Source organism: Homo sapiens, chromosome 5 (assembly GCF_000001405.40).
Source record: "Homo sapiens chromosome 5, GRCh38.p14 Primary Assembly".
NCBI lineage: Eukaryota > Metazoa > Chordata > Mammalia > Primates > Hominidae > Homo > Homo sapiens.
This window is the reverse complement of record NC_000005.10, coordinates 62,479,830-62,496,443: the sequence shown is the minus strand read 5'-3', so window position 1 is coordinate 62,496,443 and position 16,614 is coordinate 62,479,830. Positions and strand designations below refer to the sequence as shown.

General features: G+C 35.3%; 1 protein-coding gene across 2 annotated transcripts in view, besides 1 other annotated feature; it reads right to left on the bottom strand.

The window, feature by feature from the left end:
* Positions 1-16,614, bottom strand: part of IPO11 (importin 11) — a 215,820-nt gene that overhangs the window by 132,139 nt on the left and 67,067 nt on the right. For both annotated transcript variants that reach the window (NM_016338.5, NM_001134779.2), the window contains exons 10-16: positions 13,151-13,343; positions 12,282-12,434; positions 10,982-11,025; positions 8,583-8,673; positions 7,095-7,142; positions 6,224-6,329; positions 2,320-2,446 (exon numbers count right to left, since the gene is read on the bottom strand). In NM_016338.5, coding sequence (NP_057422.3) covers positions 2,320-2,446; positions 6,224-6,329; positions 7,095-7,142; positions 8,583-8,673; positions 10,982-11,025; positions 12,282-12,434; positions 13,151-13,343 — 762 coding nt within the window. The remainder of the gene's footprint in view (positions 1-2,319; positions 2,447-6,223; positions 6,330-7,094; positions 7,143-8,582; positions 8,674-10,981; positions 11,026-12,281; positions 12,435-13,150; positions 13,344-16,614) is intronic.
* Positions 201-396: a silencer, noted in NCBI's record as "fragment chr5:61791875-61792070 (GRCh37/hg19 assembly coordinates)". NCBI's record gives its function as "represses an EF-1alpha promoter that drives an FKBP-Casp9 reporter gene in an ReSE screen in HepG2 liver carcinoma cells {active_cell/tissue: HepG2}" and the evidence as "EXISTENCE:reporter gene assay evidence [ECO:0000049][PMID:32094911]".

The window sequence follows — 16,614 nt, the reverse complement described above, 5'->3', positions numbered from 1 at the left end:
ACAAGTAAACGTGAGATGTAGCCACCAGAAGATATAAAGGGCAAAGGCTGAACCTAAAGCAACATTTCCTCAAAGTATATTCTATGAATATTAATGTATTAGTCATGTGGGCTAGTCATAATGCAAACGTACTTCTTTTTTTTTTTCTTTTTTTTTTTGAGACACAGTCTCTCTGTCGCTCAGGCTGGAGTGCAGTGGGGCAATCTCGGCTCACTGCAACCTTTGCCTCCCAGGTTCAAGCGATTCTCCTGCCTCGGCCTCCCAAGTAACTGGGACTACAGGCGCATGCCACCATGCCCAGCTAATTTTTGTATTTTTAGTAGAGATGGGGTTTCATCGTGCTGGCCAGGCTGGTCTCAAACTCCTGACCTCGTGATCAGCCCACCTTGGCCTCCCAAAGTGCTGGGATTATAGGCGTGAGTCACCACGCATGCCACAAATGCACATTTTTAAAGACTCTGACCAGTTGCCTAACTAAGAGGCCCATTTGAATATTTATTTCAGAGTCTTCCAAACTTATCTGGCCATGAATCCCTTTCTCTCCAGTTACACTTGTTGATATCTGGTAGAATTAATGTTCTGTTTTTAAGGTGCTGGCTGAAATAATTCATTTTTCTCTTTCCTTTTTTAATAGACTCATTATAAAACAAGTCTAAGACCCAAGCAATTTCGGGGCCCAGTGCAGTGGCTCACGCCTATAATCCCAACACTTTGGGAGGCTGAGGTGGGTGAATCGTTTGAGTCCAGGTGTTCAAGACCAGCCTGGGCAATGTGGCAACATACCATCTCTACAAAAAACAGAAAAATCAGCCAGGCGTTGTGGTGCATATAGTCCCAGATACCTGGGAGGCTGAGGTGGGAGGATCAGCTAAGCCCAGGACATTGAGGCTACAATGAGCCGTGATAGTATCACTGCACTGCAACCGAGGCAAAAAAGAGAGACTCAGTCTCCCAAAACAAAACAGAAAAAAGAAAAACTCCAAGCAATTTCTCTATTTCCCAAAGAAAACTTAATTGAAATTTAACCCTTTTGTAACACATCCATAAATCATTTAATATCTTCTCTTTGACAGAAGGGCAAATATTTCCAACTAGGAAAGCAAAAATTTAAATCTTATGCTTTATTCTAAAGTTATTACAGAAGAAAATTAATTTTAGCAAATAGAAATTTTAGAAGTAGCTAAGTTATATTAATAAATTTCTAAGAATGTAAACCCAGTAAAATACCACAAGGCTCTCTTGTAACTTCCCATGCTTATAGTATTTAATAATTACAGAATGGTACTTAAATTCTCAAATTATTTACACAAAGCAGATAATACTTAGGTAGAAAATCCAAAGATCAGTTCTATTTGCCTTTGGAATGTATTGTGTTTCTGTAACAAATTCACCTATTTAAGCTTTCCTTTAGTGAACACTACATGTAGCTTTCTTTATGTCAGCATATGTAAAAAAGGGAAGTACAGTCCAAACCTCTGCTGACAGGCAAAAACCAGGTGGGTTCAAACTAAAAATAAAATTTGGGGGGGTAAAGGGAGGGAGACTGAGAAATGATTAAAAAAGATCTTAGCACAACTCAGGGGAGAAAAAAAAAATCACTTAATTTTACCTAAAACAAATTGAAAATCAGGAAAAGACAGCGAACATGTATATTAAGTCACTAATATATTCACCCAGGCATACAGTAAAGCACCAGTAGGAAAAAAGAAAGAAAACTATTCTTTACAATTTAAACTTCTTAAAATCATACGCCTGTAAAATTACTACTACTATTTCAGTAATTTTATAATAAAGCAGCAAACCTACTGCTTTGAAGGGGGAAAAAGCAATGAAGAGCTTACTATCAAGTTCTCAGTAACAAAATCAACAATAATATATGAATACCATAAAGAAAGAAAAATTCCTTAAAAGAGCCCAATAATTCCAAAGGCTTAAAAAAAATTCTCAAAATGAGGGACAAAGAATCAACAGTAAAGATGAAATAAATTATGATGCTATTTCAATGCCAAAGTCTATCCTGATTTTTAAAAAGAATATGTAAGCTATAAAGGGATTTTTTAAAACTGCCTTTTTTTCTAAGAAATTATAAATTACTTTATAATAGTAGAGCTTAATTTTTTTTTCAATGACTAGTAATGGGAAGGGCAAACAAGAATCAAAAGATTTTCTACCCTCAAATCAAACTGCTCACCAAGGAATAACTAGTGCAGTGAAAGGCCATAAACATCATAAAGAAAAGACATAAACTGTTGTGAACTTGATGATTTGCACAGATGAAACTTTAAAAACTAACTCTTTTAAGGCACTTAAGAAACATACCACTAAATCTTGATCTTGAAGCAAGTTACAGATTGCTTCATAAAGCATGGGTCTTAAGTCAGACTTGAATTTCACAGAAATCCACTGACCGATGAGCCAAATCACCCTGCGTCGCAATGGCTTATACCTAAACAGGAAAAAATCATGAAATTAAAATGTTAAATATTTTAAGAGGTCTATTTCTTTTAGTATAATTTATCATTTAAATCTAAAATGTAGTAAGAATGCAATCTGCATTTTTAATATAAAAGCTTAAAAGCAGGTGTGCTGGCTCATGCTTATAATCGCAGCACTTTGGAATGCCAAGGAGGGCAAATCACTTGAGGCCAGGAGTTGAAGACCAATCTGGGCAACATGGTGAAACCCCATCTCTACTAAAAATACAAAAATTAGCAGGGCGTGGTGGCATGCACCTGTGGTCCCAGCTTCTTGGAAGTCTGAGGCATGAGAATCCCTTGAAACCCAAGAGACAGAGGTTGGCAATAAGCCAAGATTGTGCCACTGCACTCCAGCCTAGGCAACAGATCAAGGCTCTGTCAAAAAAAAAAAAAAGCTTAAAGCCTACTTCTAAATGTACCACAGTACAAAATATTAACAATGAAGTCTTGATCTAAATAAATATTATTAAAACTTTTAGTACTTAAAAATTCCTAGGCATATATGTTGTAATCCTGACTCTTTTATCTTAAAGAACCGCAATGTAGGTATGTTTCATAAAAACCAAATCCATTTGGTTTTAGCTCAAGTAACCAAAAACAGTGGCAATGCCCCAAACTCTAAAACTGGAAAGGTCCCCAAAAATAATAATAAAGAAGCTCCTGTATGTAATTTTCTACTCCAATTCTGTTAATACTATGAAGATTATTTTCAGAACAATGTAAGAAACTTCTAGGCTTATATAAAACTTTCATATAAATTTTGTGATTTCAACTAAGCTAATTTTGTAAGAGGTACACAATAACAGAATGTGACTCAGATTACCAAAATAACATATATTAACACTGGCAAAACATTTACAGTAGCACATATATACATTTCTTTCTTTCTCTCATCATCTTCGCTAAAAGAAATCAAAGTTCAGGTAAGGAGAAAAATCATGCAGTTCAAAACATTTGTGTCCAAGAATTTCACTCATGAAGTACCTTTTTGATATTATGTAAATTTTAGTGGCAAGATGATAAATATTTCTGGGTATAAATGAAACACTTTTTTTTTTCCCAAAAAATTGCAATTTTAAAAGATGATCAAGCACACAGGAAAAAACTGCTCATTAAAGTTGCAAAAACTGGGCCGGGTGCAGTGGCTTACACCTGTAATCCCAGCATTTGGGAGGCTGAGGTGGGCAGATGGCTTGAGCTCAGGAGTTTGAGACCAGCCTGGCCAATATGATAAAACCCTACCAAAACTACACAAAAATAGCTGGGCATGGTGGCACACATCGTGGTCCCAGCTGCTCAGGAGGCAGAGGTGGGAGGATCACTTGAGCCCAGGAAGCAGAGATTGCAGTGGGCCAACATCATGGCACTGCACTCTAGCCTGGGTGACAAAGTGAGACCCCATCTCAAAAATTAAATAACATAAATAAAGTTACAAAAAAAAGTATGTAAGTATTCCCTGCCCCCAAGAAGTTTATAACACACCTAAAGGAATTTAAAAACACAAAGTAGTGTACTAGGACTTTAGAAAAGGAAGAGAAGAAATGGGCAGAGACAGACGGAATCTGAGCAAGTCTTTGAGATAAACAATATTGGAGCCAAAGGGTGGAAAAATGTCATTTCAAGGGACAGAAACTGTTTGAACCAAGTGACAGAGGCAGAAGTAACAACTTGTGTAGAGTGAGGTAAAAGCACCAAAGAACCATCAATTTTGGGACTAAGACCATATTAGACTCTGTTCCAGATAAAGAATATGAAACTCAGAAAGGTAAAATTCCAAACTCATAGACACATCCAAACAGAAGTAAAAGTATAGATCACTTTGCTATTTAATGTGTGCATTGCTTGATTTTTCCCAGACCTACTAAGTCAAAACCTAAACTTTAACAAGATTACCAGGTGACTCATATGTACATTAAAGTTTGAGAAACACTGGTCTACATCAGCTTTGTCCATTAGAAATATAATGCAGGCCACATATGTTATTTTAATTTTTTAGTACCCACATTATAAGAGAAAAGAAACAAAATCTTATTCTTTGGGAGGCCAAGGCGGGCAGATCACGAGGTCAGGAGATCGAGATCATCCTGGCTAACACAGTGAAACCTCGTCTCTACTAAAAAAAAATACAAAAAAATTAGCCGGGCATGGTGGCGGGCACCTGTAGTCCCAGCTACTGGGGAGGCTGAGGCAGGAGAACGGCATGAACCCGGGAGGCAGAGCTTGCAGTGAGTCGAGATCGCGCCACTGCACTACAGCCTGGGCAACAGAGCAAGACTCCATCTCAAAAAAAAAAAAAAAAACTTATTAATATTTTTACATATCCCAATATATCCAAAATATCATTTCAACATGTAATCAATAAATATTTTACATGGCTTTAAATTTTAAATTTAAATTAATTAAAATTGGAAAGTTGTTGCCTCAGTTGCACTAAGCACATTTCAAGTGCTCAATAGCTACACGTAGGGAGCTTCTGCACTGGACAGTGAAGGTCTTACACTAAATAGCCTCTAGGGTTTAAGGACAACTAAACTGCACATTTGTTTCGCCAATGAAAGCTTTCTCTCCATCAAAGGCTCACTAGCTCCCTGAGACTAAGTCAGAGTCTATTTTATTTAACACCGCCTATAGGACATGGCAAATTCCAAGTGTTAAAAATATATGTTAACTGAATAAATGATTGAATAACTGAAGAGATAAACAGCTACTTACTGTTAAGAATTACTTTTAGAGTATCTCCAGCTCTACAAATTCTGTGGCTCTAAATGTGACCTATGCATTCATTAGTTTAGTCAACAAATATTAACTATCTATGACTATATGCTAAGTATTCTGATAGGCCCCAGGTATACTGAAGTGAATCAGTAGAAGTGTATCCTTCAAATTAAGAAAAAAGCCCCTTAGAATTTTTTCAAATTCTCCAATTTTAAACTAAGAAATAATTTTATAAACTATGAAAGAGGTTTTTCCTTTCATTTTATGCATTCAATACCTAAAATTTAAGTAGACAAGTGCTTAAATGTATATAAAACGTAAGAATTGGGCTGGCCAGGTGTGGTGGCATGCGCCTGTAATCCCTGCTACTCAGGAGACTGAGGCACAAGAATCGCTTGGACCTGGGAGGTGGAGGTTGCAGTGAGCTGAGATTGCACCACTGCACTCCAGGCTGGGTGACAAAATGAGACTATTTCAAAAAAAATAGAATTGGGCAAATGTGCTATTAAATGTACTAAATTAATTCATTTCATAATTCATATTACTAAATGTAATATGAATCTGTACTATTTAATTAGGTACCTCAATTAGAACTTAGAAAGGGTATTCAAATATTTTTGCCATGATGTCTCTATATCCTACTCTACCGTCTCCCCAGAGACTTGCAGTATGCATTATGTGATCCCAAGACATTCATCTTTCACAGATGTTACTTTGATTAGGCTACTTCTGACACTAGGCATACATCCTGCTAAGTTTCGAACTGTCTTTTTCTTAGGCATAGTTTCTTGAACTCAGAGACCTCCATCCTCCCTCATCTTTGCATAAAGTCCTCCTTTTCTCCTGCAAACTACCTGATATATCAAATACTTCCTAGATGTCAAAATTCTTATTCCTTTCCACATAAGACATTACCTAACTTATACGATTGCATTTTTTAAATTGTAAGCCATTTTAATGCCTTCCTGTCTTCATTAATAAAATAAATAAGGTAAAGTAAGTGTATAATAAATATAAAATTTTATACTTGCCTATTGTGAATGACTTGTAATTCTGGAAGAAGCTGGTTTTTAAACCACTGATCAAAATCAACACTGTCAAAGAGCTCATAAGCAGCTAATCCAACAGCATTATACACTGAGAAGAAAATTTAAGAAAAAAAATTAAAGGTTTCAGATATCAGATCTGCAAATGAGTGTATGAAACATATGTTAATTAAAGGAAACACACAATATGCTAATCAGGGAAATTATTTAAGTAGAAATAATTTAAGTAGAAGAAATAATTTATTTTAGAAACACTATTTTACTTCATGTTTTTCCTAAATATTCCTTACTACTTTCAAACAGATAATTCAATTCATTCTAAAATATTTAAGTCCAACTATAAAAATTATAAAATAATGCCTGCTTCTAAAATGGATGTAATATTTTATGATCTGGTCCCTACTTAACTCTCTCCAGCCTCAACTCAACCTTTAACCCCAATGTTCCAGTTAAACCAAAATAGTCACAATTCAAATTCTAACTGTGCTTCCTCCTCTTTCCTTCAAGTCTTTGTACTTATTGCTCCATCTCCCTGGAATGCAACACCCTCTTTCCATCACCACCTCCTCACACGTGTAACTCCTACTTATCCTTGTGTTCTTCCATTACACTTCTTTGGGAATCTTTCCTTAGACACACCAAACTATCTGGTGATCATCACCTACTTTAGCATTAACTATCCTGTATAGTATTATTATAATACATTATCTGTTTACTTGGTTATCTCCCCAATCAGATTGTTCCTGTATTTTAGTTACTCTTGTATCTCAACACCCTCAGCACAAAATCTACCACAAAACAGACTCTCCATCTACTGAATAAATAAATGCTTCTAAATCACTTAAGTTTAACATACCAGCATCTTTGATTAACAGTGCATTCATATCTTCCACATTTGTGGGTCCTAAAAAATATATATATAAATAGGTATCAGTAAAAGCAAATAAAACTAGTTTTTTAAAAAATTTATATTTAAACACAATTTGTTAGTTTCCCAATTCAATTAAGTATAACACATTTCATGGTGTCAAAAATGGACACAAGTACAAAGGGAAAGTCTAAGTTTTATGATTATCATTAGAGAACACAGGATTAAAAACCATTATAGCATATTTGAAAAATGTTATGACAAGCAATATTCTAGAAAATATACACCACAAAATGCTAATGTGCTATATACCACAAAATTATTTTTTTTGAGACAAGGTCTTGCTTTGTCACCCAGGCTGGAGTACAGTGGAGTGAGGTTTTCTCAGTTCACTGCAGCCTCATCCTCCTGCGCTCAAATGATCCTCCAACCTCAGCCTTCTGAATAGCTAGGACTACAGGTACTAACCACCAGGCCCAGCTAATTTTCCTAATTTTTGTAGCGACAGGTTTTTGCCATGTTGTCCAGGCTGGTCTGGGACTCCTGGGCTCAAGTGATCTGCCCACCTCAGCCTCCCAAAGTGCTGGAATTACAGGCGTGAGTCACCATGCCTGGCCAACACTCATTCTGACAACATGCTCTTCTCTAGGATACACCACTACACCTGGCATTTTTACAAGGCTTTTATTTACTCATATCCCTATAGGTGAAAATCTCAGGTTCTGTCCTTAAGATCCTCTTTTCTTTTCCCAAGGCTCCTTACATACATGCACTCCGAAAGTATATCTCTATCTCCTACCACTTCTAATGAGGTAACTGTTTCCTTGTCATTAAGGCTCAAAAGTTTAGGATCATCTTTGATCACTTTTCCTTGCCTAGCACATTCAATCGGTTGCTAAAAGTCAATCAAGTAACAATAGTTACTGAATATGCCCAGCACTGGGAATAAAATATAAACAAAACAGACGTGATCAATGCCCCTAGGACTTACAGTCTAGCAGAAAAGACAGAAATCATAAATCAATGTTAGTTAATAGGCAGATAATTAGTTACTTGTGTACAAAGTGTAATGACCAAGTGTCAAAAATTTACATCATCATTTTCTCTCAAATCCATAATCAATTATTTCCATTCCCACTGCCACCATTCTAAGAGAGGCTAACACTATTTTAACCTTTTCTCACTATTTCTCACAACACGCTCCAGATAGACTTTCTGCAAGCAGTATGACTACTGTTTTGCTTTTGCTTCTATTGTATTTACTACAGGAAAATTTATCATCGTCCAAACTATAATTCAAGGCCTATCTCAAATGCCACCCCCTTGGAAGATAATAAGTTTTAAAATTGTTTTTCTCAAATTCATATTTATTATATGACCCAGGAAACAGTACAGTATGCATTGTAGGCACTCAGACTATTTCTTAACTAAACGTTAAAGAGATTAACTCAAAGTTAATCACAAAATATGCCTTACCTTGAAGTGTTTGCATCATTTCTAGAAGTACAGGAGTAAGAGTCTGATTATATTCATGGAATATATCTATAAATAATACTTCAGTGCATGGCTGGAGAGGGAAAAATACAAATTTCTCATCAAAACAGTTGCATACTATATTGACTAATTCTTTAATAAAGCAAATACTTAATCTTAAAATTCTAAAACTTTGAAAATGTTTCCAACTTTTGATTTGTTAAAAAAAAAAAGTAAGGTTACCATTTTTTTATAACCAACACAAAGGAAAACAAAATCGAATTATAATTAATAAAAGAAAGTTGATTTCATTTCAATTATTTGTCATTACGCATTCAAAAACTTAAAACTATGGCAAGCAAAGTGTACATTTTAAATTAATCATACCTTAAATTTAAAAAGCATTCTGTAGCCACTCATTTATAGCTCAGTACTATAAATGGCTGACTACCCAAGATTCTTTTTTTTTTGAGACACAGTCTCACTCTGTCACCAGGCTGGAGTGCAGTGGTGTGATTTCGGCTCACTGCAACCTCCACCTCCCAGGTTCAAGCGATTCCCCTGCTTCAGCCTCCCGAGTAGCTATTATGTATTTTCTTAGCAATGATATAATAAGCAAAAACAGGAACTCCAATTTGCCAAATAAAGTAGCCTTTCTCTTAACAAACACAAGCGGTAACAGAAATTAGCATTAGCTACATTTAAAAAAATGATTTGTTTGGTTCTTAAAAGTACTGAATCATTTCACATTGCATGCTGGTATCAAAACATCTCATGTACCCCATAAATATGTACACCTACTATGTACCCACAAAAAATTTTTTAAAATAATTTTTTATTTAAATTTTAAAAAGGAATTTAATCACTAGATCGTTCACAATATTTAAATTTTTTAATTAAATTTTTAAGGTATTGTGTGGTGTTTTAAAAGGAACATTATAAATATACACACTGAAATATGGTCAGAGGATGTGTCATCTCAGATAACCATCAACACTGGGAGATGTTTACAGGAAGCTAAAGTAGCCATGAGTTGATAACTAATAAACTAGCTTATCATGAAGGGCTCATTATATTATTCTATTTTTTAATATGTTTAAACTTCTCCATAAAAGAAACTTTTAAAAATTAAAGGAATGAAATTTTTTAAAGTTTTAAAATCACCAGTAATCTCTCTGGTTAACAACTGTATGTTTATGAATCTAAAAACATTAAAGATAACATTTTTAGAAGACAAATAGCTAATTATGTAAATTATGTAAGTGCAAATCTTAAAAAGAAGAGCTCAAACATCACATCTGGTAACGGCAAAACATTTGTCATATTAATAAATGCGTTGTAAAAGTATCCTATAACTGAAAGCAATGGGCTAGTCTCTGAGAATCACATGAAGTGGTAAGAGAAATAACATACCAAAAGAAACTTTACTAATGAAATATATAGAAGGAAAAAATTCTAGCTTAAGAATGGCAGCTTTCAGTTTGACAAACATTTTCTATTTGTGTAATGACAATTATTTCCCAAGCAATGTACTAAAAGATGAAGAAAAAATTTGTTTTCCGACCCCAAGTTAAACAAAAGAAAAGGCCAGGCACAGTGGCTCACGCCTGTAATCCCAGCACTTAGGGAGGCCGAGGCGGGTGGCTCACGAGGTCAGGAGATCGAGACCAACCTGGCTAACAAGATGAAACCCCGTCTCTACTAAATAAACAAAAAATTAGCTGGGCGTGGTGGCGGGCGCCTGTATTCCCAGCTACTCGGGAGGCTGAGGCAGGAGAATGGCATGAACCCAGGGGGCGGAGCTTGCAGTGAGCCGAGATGCACCAGTGCACTCCAGCCTGGGCAACAGAGTGAGATTCTGTCTCAAAAAAAAAAAAAAAGAAAAAGAAAAAAGAAAAAAAACTCAGATTAAACGTCATAATTTAATATGAATATAGTTCTTAGTTTCTTATAAACAGTTTCTTATCTGTCTGACTTAATGTTGGGAATCTTTAATTTTTTTTTTTTTTTTTTTAAGAGACGGGTTTTGCTTTGTAATCCAGGCTAGAACGCAGTGGCATCATCATGGCACACGGCAGCCTCAACCTCCTGGGCTCAAACAATCCTCCTGCCTCAGATTCCTGAAGAGTTGGGACTACAGGTATGCGCCACCACTCTGGTCTAATTTTTTTTTCCTTTTTTTACTTTTTGCAGAGACAGGGTCTCACTATGTTTACCAGGCCGGTCTTGAATTTCTGGCCTCAAGCGATCCTCCCACCTTGGCTTCCCAAAGTGCTAGGATTAAAGTGTGAGCCACCATGCCCAGCAAATGTCTGGAATCTTTAATAGAGTGTCATTCTCTACTAAGAGCTTTAGAAAGATTAAGCTTTCCCCTATCAATTTTTCTTGCAATTAATACTTACCCTCAAACTATATTTCCAAGAATCTCCTCCTGTTTCTTCCACTGCTGCAATTAAAAATATGTAATAATGACATTTTCAACATCTTGGTTTAGAAAACAAAGATTTTAATAACATCAGTATAATATTTTTGTGAACTCTTTTAAACATAACATTAAGAGCAAAGCCTTGGGAACACAGGCCTTACACAGATTTTGTTACTATATGCTACAGATCACAGTTGTGTATCTCACAGTCGTCTATTAAGTGCTTACTATATCCATAAGCATTCTCATTTTCGATAAAAATTCTTTATGGAAAAAAGCTCAAAGTAGTTGTCATTTCCAGGGTATCTGCTATCACCTGATCCAATATCACTAGAATTCTGAGAATCATTTCATTTCAATACAGTAATCATGTTTCACTAGGTACAATGATTACTCACACTCTCCATAAATTTCTTGAATTTAAAGAAAAATACTTCAGGGCTCTTAAAAATTTAGGGACTCAACACTTTATGTTACAATGTTGTATGTACTATATAAAGAAAGCAAATTGAAAAAAGATGTTTCAAAAAAAGCAAAAAAAAAAACAAGAAAAGACATGTTGTACAGTACAATCCTGTATTAAAACTAAAATTACTTTTAAAAACCAAAAGCATGGCGAAGATAAGTATTACAAAAACTTTTGGGCACTCTTAAAATATTAGGAAACGTGTAACTACACAAGGGTACACAACCAAAGAGAAAAGGGAGGCTAAAATCTAGCCTATGTCCCACCATAGCTTAAGTAATTCACATACAAGTAAGTACTTTATTAGACACATGATTCCTTGATTTTCTATAGCAAGGGTCCCAACAGACTTATTCTACTTATCTATCTAGTACTAAAATTCAAACAGATATAAAGATGTCCTGTCCAAAAAAAAAAAAAAAACTATTCATCAAAAACCTCCAAATTTCTTTGCAAGAATTTCTACAAATAAAAAATAACATGGAATGAATCACAAAATAGAAACTGACAGGGTAAGAGAGAGTTAATTTTATATTTTTGTTTGAAACTACATGATATATTTGTAAAGGAATCCAAAAACTAAAAAGGTCTTTTCCTGGACAAAATTCTACAACATATTTGCATAAGTCATTCATTTTCTGCTTCTCAATTTGTTCTAATGGATAACAACGAAAGAGTAAGTTAATTTTAAAACACCAAGATTTCCAGATCAAAAGTGCTGTATGAAAATACAATATTATACCTATCACTCAAACAGATATTTATAGAAAGGGGAGAAAAGTCATTCTAACACTAAAAAATTAATTCTTACTAAAGCCTTCTGGGTCTTCTTCCCACATTGTCAGTTCTTCTTCAGTTAATAGGAAATAATGAGAGACTAATCTTCTACATATCTCTGTCAAAGTAGGATATGTGAAGAATGCCATCTTAATCTTATGGGCTTCAAGAGTTTCAGGGCTGCTATCTAGAAAAATGAAATTTCCAAGTTAATTGTATAGCCAAACATTGTAGCTACATTGGATTATGTAACTTAAATAAATAAAAAATACACTCTCAGGGAAGAAGATACACTTGTGTATAAATTTTCATTTTTATTATAAACAAATCTCAAAGATACTCTTTCCTTACAACACACTCACATCAATCTTGCCTCTGGCATTACAGCTTATATATTACCATGCAATACCATCACGGCATACTGAAATAACTTCCTCATAATGTAGAGGGTGTGGGGGGTGTGTGCATGTGTTTCTCTCTCCCCCACCACCAAGACTTCTTCATTCATCTTGGCACACACGCATATGAATGAATTCCAAATAATACAACAATTTAACCTGTCTAGAAACAATCACACTTTATATAAAGTCAGAGAAAGCTTTTATTTGTTCAAATGAATACACCCTACAATATGAGCTGCAGTGATGACTATAGTACCTAATTCTTAAAGTCCCTAAGCTTCAACCAATTTGTGCTACAAAAAATGGCTTATTAAATGCACTATGTTGTTTTTAAAAGCTAGTATAAACATACTAAAGCCTATAATCCTTATATCTTTTTCATGTCCCAGCAACAATTTATTTTTCAGACTAAAATGACATTTTTTAAAAAGTTTGTAATTATAGCAATTATATCACACTTAAGATTAAAATAATTCTTTTAAACTGCCAATAAAGGAATTACCTTCAAAATTTTTGGATGGCTTATAAGCATAATTTTTGACAATCATCTTAATAAGATTCATACATTGGACAATGAATCGTTCAAATGTAACGCCTTCACCAACTTCTGTAAAAACATAGCTTACAGAAAATTCCAGTGATCTCTGAATTAGAGGAGTAAATGAAAAAGGATGCTGATCCAAGAAGTCCAAAAGCTGTAGAAAAATAAATAAATAAAAATTAAAATGTATTTTCCCCAAATTCATATTGGAATATAATCACTCCAATTATAACTTTACTAATAATCATTTAGCAGTTTGAACCTTAGTGTGGAGTCTATGTTCACTCAGTTTTACATTATCATAACTCTTCTTGAGGCACATCATATAATGAGGATTATGTTAGATTATATCTGATAATAAGAACTTTCTATTATTTTCAATACAGAAACCAAAACAGACTCAATTCATACTTAATTTTATAACAATGGGTGAATATGATACAAAACGCTTAAATATACAATAGACCTTTAAAAGTAATAGACTAAGGTAAAGAATTTAAATATTATCTTCCCTTTCCCATATGAATTATATTTTAATGTTATCAAATAGCTAAGGAGGGAGATGTCTTCTTTATAGAAGAATTTCAGCTAATAAATGCAAAAGGAATAACAGAATTAGAATGCCATCATTGTGTAACTCCTGATCAAATAATGGATCTAGGCAAATGATGATCAACAGCTGTTAAAATAAGAGAAAAGCTGCTGAGGAAATTTGATAGATCACTCATCAATCTTAGCCACAGAAAAAGAAACCAATGAGAACAAAGACACAATGTACCAGAGTCTCTGGGACACATTTAAAGCAGTGTGTAGAGGGAAATTTATAGCACTAAATGTCCACAAGAGAAAGCAGGAAAGATCTAAAATCAACACCCTTACATTACAATTAAAAGAACTAGAGAAGGAAGAGCAAACACATTCCAAAGCTAGCAGAAGGCAAGAAGTAACTAAGATCAGAGCAGAACTGAAGGAGACAGAGACACAAAAAAACCCTTCAAAAAATCAATGAATCCAGGAGCTGGTTTTTTGAAAAGATCAACAAAAGTGACAGACCACTAGCAAGACTAATAAAGAAGAAAAGAGAAGAATCAAACAGACACAATAAAAAATGATAAGGAGTATCACCACCAATCCCACAGAAATACAAACCAACATCAGAGAACACTGTAAACACTTCTAAGCATATAAACTAGAAAATCTACAAGAAATGGATAAATTCCTGGACACATACACCCTCCCAAGACTAAACCAGTTAGAAGCTGAATCTCTGAAGAGACCAGTAACAGGCTCTGAAATTGAGGCAATAATCAATAGCTTACCAATCAAAAAAAGTCCCAGACCAAACAGATTCACAGCCGAATTCTATCAGAGGTACAAAGAGGAGCTGGTACCATTCCTTCTGAAACTATTCCAATCAATAGAAAAAGAGGGAATCCTCCCTAAATCCTTTTATGAGGCCAGCATCATCCTGATACCAAAGCCTCGCAGAGATACAACAAAAAAAGAGACCAATATCCCTGATGAACAATCAGGGATTTAGACCAATATCCCTGATGAACATCAATGCGAAAATCCTCAATAAAATACTGGCAAACAAACCGAATCCAGAAGCACATCAAAAAGCTTATCTGCCATGATCAAGTGGGCTTCATTCCTGGGATGCAAGGCTGGTTCAACATACGCAAATCAATGAACGTAATCCATCACATAAACAGACCCAAAGATAAAAACCACATGATTATCTCAATAGATGCAGAAAAGGCCTTCGACAAAATTCAACAGCCCTTCATCCTAAAAACTCTCAATAAACTAGGTATTGATGGGACATATCTCAAAATAAAAAGTGCTATTTATGACAAACTCACAACCAATATCATACTGAATGGGCAAAAACTGGAAGCATTCCCTTTGAAAACTGGCACAAGACAGGGATACCCTCTCTCACCACTCCTATTCAACATAGTGTTGGAAGTTCCGGCCAGGGCAATCAGGCAAGAGAAAGAAATAAATGGTATTCAATTAGGAAAAGAGGAAGTCGGCCAGGCGCGGTGGCTCATGCCTGTAATCCCAGCACTTTGGGAGGCCAAGGCGGGTGGATCACAAGATCAGGAGATCGAGACCATCCTGGCTAACACGGTGAAACCCTGTCTCTACTAAAAATACAAAAAAAAATTAGCCGGGCATGGTGGCGGGTGCCTGTAGTCCCAGCTACTCAGGAGGCTGAGGCAGGAGAATGGTGTGAACCCAGGAAGCAGAGCTTGCAGTGACCCAAGATCACGCCACTGCACTCCAACCTGGGCGACAGAGCAAGACTCTGTCTCCAAAAAAAAAAAAAAAAAAAAAAAAAATGAAAGAGGAAGTCAAATTGTCCCTGTTTGCAGATGACATGATTGTACATTTAGAAAACCCCATCATCTCAGCCCAAAATCTCCTTAAGCTGATAAGCAACTTCAGCAAAGTCTCAGAATACAAAATTAATGTGCAAAAATCACAAGCATTCCTATACATCAGTAATAGACAAACAGCCAAATCATAAGTGAACTCCCATTCACAACTGCTACAAAGAGAATAAAATACCTAGGAATCCAACTTACAAGGCATGTGAAGGACTTCTTCAAGAAGAACTACAAACCACTGCTCAACAAAATAAGAGGACACAAACAAATAGAAGAACATTCCATGCTCGTGGATAGGAAGAATCAATATCGTGAAAATGGCCATACTGTCCAAGGTAATTGATAGATTCAATGCCATCTCCATCAAGCTACCAATGACTTTCTTCACAGAATTGGAAAAAAACTACTTTAAAGTTCATTTGGAACCAAAAAAAAGCCCGCATTGCCGAGACAGTCCTAAGCCAAAAGAACAAAGCTGGAGGCATCATGCTACCTGACTTCAAACTATACTACAAGGCTACAGTAACCAAAACAGCATGGTACTGGTACGAAAACAGAGATATAGACCAACGGAACAGAATAGGGCTCTCAGAAATAACACCACACATCTACAACCATCTGATCTTTGACAAACCTGACAAAAACAAGAAATGGCGAAAGGATTCCTATTGAATAAATGGTGCTGGGAAAACTAGCTAGCCATATGTAGAAAGCTGAAACTGGATCCCTTCCTTACACCTTATACAAAAATTAATTCAAGATGGATTAAAGACTTAAATGTTAGACCTAAAACCATAAAAACCCTAGAAGAAAACCTAGGCAGTACCATTCAGGACATAGGTATGGGCAAAGACTTCATGACTAAAACACTAAAAGCAATGGCAACAAAAGCCAAAATTGACAAATGGGAGCTAATTAAACTAAAGAGCTTCTGTACAGCAAAAGAAAACTACCATGAGAGTGAATAGGCAACCTACAGAATGGGAGAAAATTTTTGCAATCTACTCATCTGACAAAGGGCTAATATCC